Source organism: Homo sapiens, chromosome 17 (assembly GCF_000001405.40).
Source record: "Homo sapiens chromosome 17, GRCh38.p14 Primary Assembly".
NCBI classification, from domain to species: Eukaryota; Metazoa; Chordata; class Mammalia; order Primates; family Hominidae; genus Homo; species Homo sapiens.
The window spans coordinates 41,322,592-41,330,358 of NC_000017.11; the positions used below are offsets into that span (position 1 = coordinate 41,322,592).

The 7,767-nt window shown below is 58.6% G+C and overlaps 1 pseudogene, besides 1 other annotated feature; it reads left to right on the plus strand.

Moving 5' to 3' along the window:
* TBC1D3P7 (TBC1 domain family member 3 pseudogene 7) lies at window positions 836-6,954 on the plus strand (annotated as a pseudogene).
* Window positions 6,950-7,519: an enhancer, noted in NCBI's record as "H3K4me1 hESC enhancer chr17:39485793-39486362 (GRCh37/hg19 assembly coordinates)". NCBI's record gives its function as "activates a minimal SCP1, AML or CMV promoter by ChIP-STARR-seq in primed H9 embryonic stem cells {active_cell/tissue: H9 hESC(primed)}" and the evidence as "EXISTENCE:reporter gene assay evidence [ECO:0000049][PMID:30033119]".

Consider the following 7,767-nt stretch of genomic DNA (forward strand, 5'->3'; position numbering starts at 1 on the left):
CACCAGAAGCAACTCAACAAAAATTTGGTTTGATGAGAGAAGCTTATTATATTTACATGGAACTAATTTAAACCATGCATCCAATTAACGATCTCTTAGCAAAGGAGACACATTATCAGTCCCTCCCTCATGCCAGGCCCTGCTGTGAGCACTTTATACGTGTTTTCTTGGTTAATGCTCAAGATAGCTCAACACAAGTATTAATATCCTTATTTTGTGCATGAAGAAACTGGAGCTCATGGTGATCAATTACTTTACCCAGACAATGCAGAGCTTGGATTTGAACCCAGATCTGTCTGTTTCTGAAGCCCATCTTCCCTCCTCTATGTCTGGCTTTCTGAGAGAACCACAGAAAATTGCAAAGGCCCTGAGGCAGGAGCGTGATTGGCATGCTTGAGGCCCAGAGGGGAAGTCTGCATCTGGTCTGGTCTGGTGTGAGCAGGGGAGAGCGGCAGACAGCTCAGGGGAAGAAGAAGGCCCAGGTTCAATGACCTGAGGCCGTTGCAAGGCTCTAGCTGTCACTCAGAGGAGATGGAGAGCCAGCAGAGGGTCCTGGGTAGAGGAAGGCTCAGCTGTGGCTCAGGCGTTAACCATTCACTGCCCTCTGTCCTCTGCCTTCAACCCTCAACTTTTTGCCTCTCCACTCCACCATGCTGGGTGGGGAGGGCTGAAGTTAGGGAGCACCCACAGAGGCTCTGATGCTGGCCCTGGGACCCAGGAGTGAGAGTGATGAGGAACTGGCTGCACACATGAGTAGGGCAGCCGGATCTGGCCAGAGAAGCAACACATGCACCCTTTATCTTGGACCCCTCACCCTGGCTCCCTCTGAGTTGCAGGGATGCCCAGCTGGGCTGCCAGCGGACATGGGGCCTCACTATGCTGACATCTACAAAGGCACTGATCGCCTTGGGATTCTGCAGTGAGTCCTCATCCCTTAAAGCACCAATCTCAGCTCAGGGATGGGTTTTGCCCTTAGAAAGGCCTTTCTGAGGCAAGATGTGTCTACCTGGCTCCAGCCAACCTCCTTTTCAGGGCCAGAACTCCTCCCTGGCACCCCTGCAGGTCCAGCCCATGGTCGTTGTTAGGCCAGAGGTGCGTGGCCCATCTAGGGAGCGTGGTTCATCTAGGGAGCGGGTGGGAATGGAGAGAGGGCTAGGTCAGGCCCCTGGGCTCTCAGCAGTTCTGTCTCCAAGTTAGCACAAGAGGAGGGGGGCAGCCTGAGGGTCTGGCCCTGTCCACTTTCTGAGATCCAAGGGTTGTGGCCACAGGGTGAGGGGATGCTTGGCCCAGCCTGGGGGCAGTTGTCCGGCAGATCTCTGAGGGCCCACCTGCCTGTCTTCTTCCCCATTCCCCATGGGGAAGGGCATGGGGAGAATGAGGGCTGTGGCCCTGGGGGAATGGGGGAGAAGATGGGTAGGGCCATGTTCTGGGCGTCTCACGGTGAGACCAGGGAAGCAGCAGAGCTTGTGGCTAAAGGCCCTGGATCTGGTGCTGGGAAGGAATCTGGGGCCAGGTAGGAGCCCAGCCTGGAGCTGATCCCTCGGGGGTCATAGGATAGAGAAACAGAGGATCCCAGGGAAGGTGGGGTGGGAGTGAGCTTATGGGCTGTGCCACTTCTGAAATGCACCCCAAAGGAGCCGATGGTCTGGTGAGGATGACAGAAGGGGTGGAGCCAAAAACACCAACTCACCTGGGACTCGTCAGCAGAGTCCCAGCAGAGGGAGCCGGTCAGTCCCCAAGGCTCTGCGTGGCTTTCCAGAGACTCTGCTTCCAGTTGGCTTGGACAGCACGGTGTGCAGAAAGTGATGGGGGAGACTGACTTAAGGCAGGCGGGACAGTGGGAGAGGACAGTCAGGCGCCCCAATCCCAGCTGCTGCAGTGTCTGGGAGGAGGCTGAGGGCTGACAGCCAAGGGCTCCAAGAGCCAGGTGAGGCTGGAGGTGGGGCAGGGAAGCCATCCTGGCCATCTGTGGGGTCCTCGGTCACCCATGTCACCCTTGGCATCTCCCCAGCAGCCATCGGCAGCCCAATGAGAGAGCAGACAAGGCAGGCATGTGAACAGATCTGGGGAGTATCACTCGGGGGTTCTGACAGGACAAGGATCAAAGAAGGGCCAGGGTGGCTGGGGAAACATTCACCATCTCTGGGTTGACAGGATGGCAGAAATTGGGGAACAAGCAGGGTGGGTGGCTGGAGTGCAGGGAGAGGCAGGTGGATGCCGGGAGGTCAGACCCTGTGAGGGCTTGGGAATGTCGGGTGGGATGGGCCCTGGATGCACCCTGGGTACACCAGGCAAGTCTCAGGCCAGGATCCCTAAACCTCAGCAGGGTGATGTGGTCACTCCCTGAGGGACTCCTGTCAGGGCCCGGCTACCCACCCTGGGTGGCACCTGTCCCGTCTCGGGCTGATTTTTCTCAGCCACCCTGGCCAGGTGACCTCCACTTTTAGTGAAGGCACCTTCCTGTGTCGCCAACTTATCTGGAGCCTTTAGAATGTCTCTGCTGAGGGCCCCACAGAAGCCCAGGACTGAACGGATACCCCCAGGGCTACACAGGTACCCCCAGGCCCCAAATGAGACGCCTTTTATCTCCATCAACAGAGGACATCTTATCCCCCCGTGGCTGCCCTCTGTGGCCTGGAGCCACACCCTCTGGCTCTGATTCTGTGCAACTGACTGTCCCCTCCGTGAGAGTCCTCCTGCCCTCCTGCTGGCCAGGCTCCAGCTGCCCTTGGTGCCCACAGATGGGTCGATGAAGCCCAGATGGCAGCATCTCCCCTTCCCATGTACCCTGGCCCGACCCCACTTCCAGGAGACGACCACGAAACCCAGCACCCACCCAGTTCTTCCCGCCCTCTGTCATGGCCTCAAAGTCAGCCTTGCCTTCCTAGCACCCGGGCCCAGGAGGCCTCCAGGAGCACCTCCGGCCAGGCTCCAGAGGATGTTCCCATCCCTCTTCCCCAGGGCCAAGGCCGCATGGTGGGGTCACCAGGTGGGAGGGTGGGAGGCCCGGTGTTCATGGGCCTTTGCAGCTGCCCAGCAATTCCAGCCGACAGTTCCACATCTTGGGAACAGGCTCTGATTTCATGATGGGCTGGAGGCTTCTCAGGATTCCACAGCCCAAATGGCACAGGGGTCCAGGGGCTCCAAGACCACCAGGAGCATGTGGTACCCACGTCACACCCCAAGACCATGAGGCACTTGGTGAGTTTATGGTCCCCTCGACTCTTCCCTAGAGGCCCAGCATCCCATGGGGCCAGAGGAGTCGGGGGTGCTGGAGCCCCTCGTGGGGCTGGTGAGAGGCTGAGTCCCAGCCAGGGCCTGACCTGGGACGTGGGGTTCTCCATGTACTGGGAGTTGGGTTTCCTTTCCTGCCCTGGAGGAGACAGAGGCACAGGGACAGGGGCCCAGCTCCTGCAGAGCAGGGCTGAGGGCAGTGTGTCCACTGGGAATGCAGGAAGGGGGAAGGTGTTGTGGGGAGCCCTGGACACCACCCAGTACTCTGCACTTGGGGAAGGGTCTTCAGAGGGCCCTAGAAGAAGGAGGTTTTTAGGGCAGGCTAGGGGGCCCTGAGCACCTCTGTTCCTCCTGTCGGGACACGGAAGGGCTATGTGCTCAAGGTTCCTCATTAGCTTGGCTTCTACAGAGGGTGATCAATGGGATAAGGAGGCACAGGGAGACCGTGGCTCAGGGACCCTCCTTGCCCTGCAGTGCTCTACTTCCCCAGCCCAGGGGTCTGGCTCACCCCCAGCCCACAGGAGGCTCAGGCAGGTCCCTGTAGGACACACAAGCAAGGCCCTCTGCCCAAGAGGGGTCATCCCCCAGCAGAGGCCAGGGCTCAGGCCCAGCCTCATGGATAGACTGACCCAGGACCTAACTTGGGAGGGCTCAGGGAAGCCAGACCCAGCCTCCTGGAGGGGTCAGATGACCCTCATGGGGAGGGTCACTGACTCTGGGGGACTGAAGCCCCAGTGGGCCCAGATCCAGCCACCAGCCTCCAGCCTGGACGAGCCAGGGCCTCCCACACCTGTGTCCCCACAGATCTCTCTCGGGCTCACCCTAAGCCTGTGGAGGGTGTATTTGGTAGAAAGGAACAGGTGTTGATGCCAATGGCACGCACTGCCTTCAAGGTTCAGAGGAGTAAGTCCACGTGTGCCCAGTGGGGCCTGGGAAGCTCTGGGGTCAGACCCCGACTGGCCCAAGGGCAGCTTCCTCACACTGTCCCCATGTTTCTCTGCTCCAGCCCAGAAGAAGGTCTGGCCTGGTGAGCAGGGCAGGGCACAGTGATGCCGAGCCCATCCCGCACGTGACCCAGATGAAAGTCGGGAGTGTGGCAAGCACTTCCCTGCCCAGGCCTCCCCCAAACCACAGCCTCCTGTGCACATCTGCACCCCTGTTGTGGCCACAAAATGATCCGGCACCACCCAGTGGGAGACGACAGAGGTGGCAATGGGGTGTCGGCTCTGACGCCTCCCAGGGAACTTTCCTGGCCTGATCCTCACCCTGTCCCTAGAGCACCTCATGAAGGCTTCCAGGTCTGGCCTGTGGGCGCGTTTTCAGGACCAGTTCCCCCAAACCTGGGCCCTGGACAGTGATGCAGTTCTTAGGCACCTTCAGGCCTCTGTGCTCTGTAAGGAAACTACCAGGAAGCATGGGGACCTGCCACCCCCAGGAAGGCTCCAATACCCAGTCCCCCCACCAAGTCACCTTCTGGGGCAGTCAATAGTGGGGGAGTGCCTGTGACCCCAAACCTGGGCCTTCCTCTTACATCTTTTCTTCCTCCTCTTCCTCCTGGATGCTAAGTAAGTGCAGGAGGCCCACCGGTCCTCAGGGCAGGCGCTCAGTGCGTGTGTACTGGTACTCAGTGCTGTGCACACAGGAGGGGGATGTGGGCAAGACCCTCCAACAAACCCCCTCCCACTTTCCATTGTCCTGCCCTCCCCCTCAAATGGCCCTCAAGGGCATTGGAAGAGCCAGGCCTATTTGGGGGAGCCCCCGCCCCTCCCTGCAAGCACTGACAGACTCAGAGAGCAGCAGAGGACCCTCACTCCTGCACACCCTTCCAAGGGTGCCAGAAAAACAAGTCTCGAGCCAGGGAGACAAGGGAATTGGTGTCCCTGACTCCCAGAGCATTCAGGGAGAGGGCACGGGTGGGACCCCTGGCCCAGAGCCAGAGCCAAGAGTTCAGCCAGCTGTGGGAACAGTCAGTCCCGGCATGGACTGGGCAGCCCAGGAGGGCAGAAAGGGCCCTGTGTCCGGGTCCTCTCACCCACTGTGGAGATAGGTCCCCATGTGAGGTGACAAGGGGGCTGGGTGACAACCAAGGCCCCTCCCACCTGAGTTCTGACTAGGGACTGTATCCCAGGCCCAACAGCCCTGGGATGAGGGTGGTAAGGCAGGAAGCCCCCAGCCAGCCTGAACCCTGGGAGGCAGTCCCAGAAGGCAGTCCCAGGAGCCACCTCCCATGCCCATACAGCTTTCCCACCCCAGGCGGCACACACTCCCTCCCTCTGGGATCAGCAGCCTACAGGCGTGTCCTGTCAGGCCACGGGGGCCACACAGAGACCCTGAGGACTCTAGAGACCCAGGCAGGTGGGGCCTGACCCGGAAAGATCTGCATGGGCTCACTGGAGATGCTGACCATATCTGTTTTCCTTTCAGCCAAACCTAAGCAAGGGTCCTCAGCACCCAGGCCTGAGCTGGCTTCACCGTGTGGCAGGAAGACCCTCTGCAAGGGGAGTAGGCAGGCTCCTCCAGGCCCACAAGCCCACTTCCAGCAGTGCATTTGGTCAGCTTCCCCGCCATGGGTGCCTCTTCCTTTCACACCCTGTCCTGTCTTGGTGGGGCTATCCCAGGGTGTGCCCAGACTGGCCCCAGCTCAGGGAGGACCTCGGGTTTCCTGGAGGTACCTGCAGTGGAACTCCCTGCCTCAGCTCCCAATGGACTCGGACGTGGTGAGCCCTTGGTTTCCCCATTATGATTTCGAACAGGGCTGTTGGGCCCGTGTCCCCTCCAAATGTGTCCTGGACAGCCCTGGGACCATGGGACAGACCTAGCCCAGGAAGCCCATGGGGACCTCGACACCAGGCCCTGCCCAGGCCCATCAGGACTAAGAAGGAGATCAGGAGATACCCCCACTGCAACATGGGCACCTGTATCTGGAAGGAACCAGGGTGGCACCCACCAGCTTCCCCGCAGCCCCAGATACCTTGGAAGATCCCATTCAATGGGGAAGCTGGTCCCATCAAGGCCACAAGAGAGAGACGTGAGCACGGCATCCCTGCAGCCCCAGACAGCCAGCAGTATGGACCTGGGGCACAATACCCAGGCCAAGAGTGGCCTGGCCTAGACCCCAGCCCTGGGAAGAGAGGGGTACCAGGGCTGTGGTGGGCTCCCAGCTGCAGTCAGCATGACCATGCAGGGGACCCTGGCACTGCAGAGCTCTGCATTGTCACAATTCACCTTACAGAACCGGGGAGAGATCTCGAAGCCTTGCAGCCACTGCTGCAGCCACAGCAGGTGCCACCACCACGTGCCTTCCAGCTGCCAGTGCAGGCTCTCCTGACAGCAGGGCACCCTGCAGCCCTCACCTCAGCAGCTCAGACTCTGAAGGTATCTGTTGTTCATGTTCCCAGTGCTCCCACCAAAGAGAATTACTACAGAGAATACTCTTGGTCCTGAGGTGGGCAAAACAGCATGCCCTGTGGATGGAGCCGGCTTCTTTCCCAGCCACCATGCTTGCTGGATGGGCCCGCAGAGCAAGTGGCCATGAGACGGGCATGGGGACGGGAGAGGCTCAGCATCCTGCACATGCCCTTACCAAGGCTCACCAGGCTGACACCACTGCTGAGCGCCTTGTCTGTGGAAAACAGATTCACACCCAACCCCTGGGATGGCACCATTTCCCAGAAGGACCAGCTGGCCACCTACTGGCAGGCTGACCACACTGCGGAAGGGGCTGAGATTGGCTTTCACTGCACTGAGCCACAACGTGGACATGCACTTGCCGGCCCTGCAGTGCACACAGCACTGCTTCCGACCAGGGCACCCCATTCACAGCTAGGGACAAGCAGCAGTACACTCCCGAGGCCCCACAACCCAAACAAGCTTCCCATCCTCGTTTTACTTTTTTGTTAAACTTATGAAAATTTATGAAGAAAGTGCACAGCTCTAAAGACATTAACAGATGGAACACATCAGCCCCCAGATCACAAAGCCAACCCAGCCTCTGCGCCCCCAGCCCTGCAACCAGTGTTCTGACTTCTGACAACACCATGAGCCTGCCTTTTGTACTTTACACTCATGGAAGGATAACCACGTCCATGTTTTAAAATAAATGTTTACTTTTGAAATGATTTTAGATATATAGAAAAACTGAAAAGGCATTATAGTGTACTCCGACACCTTCCGTCCAGCTGCCCCTAATAATGACATTTTGCATTACCATGGCACATTTGTCCAAATTAAGAAATTTAGGCCAGGTGTGGTGGCTCACACCTGTAATCCCAGCAGTTTGAGAGGCCAAGGCAGGAGGTTAAGGTTCATTTGAGTCCTGGAGTTTGAGACCAGCCTGGGCAACATAGGTAGACCCTATCCCTGGAGAAAAGTTAAAAAAAAAAAAAAAAAAAAATAAGGAGCCAGGCATGGTGGCGTGTGCCTATAGTCCCACCTAATCAGGAGGCTGAAGCAGGAGGATCGCTTGAGCCCAAGAGATCCAGGAAGCAGTGAGCTATGATCGCACCACTGCATTCCAGCCTGGGCGACAGAATG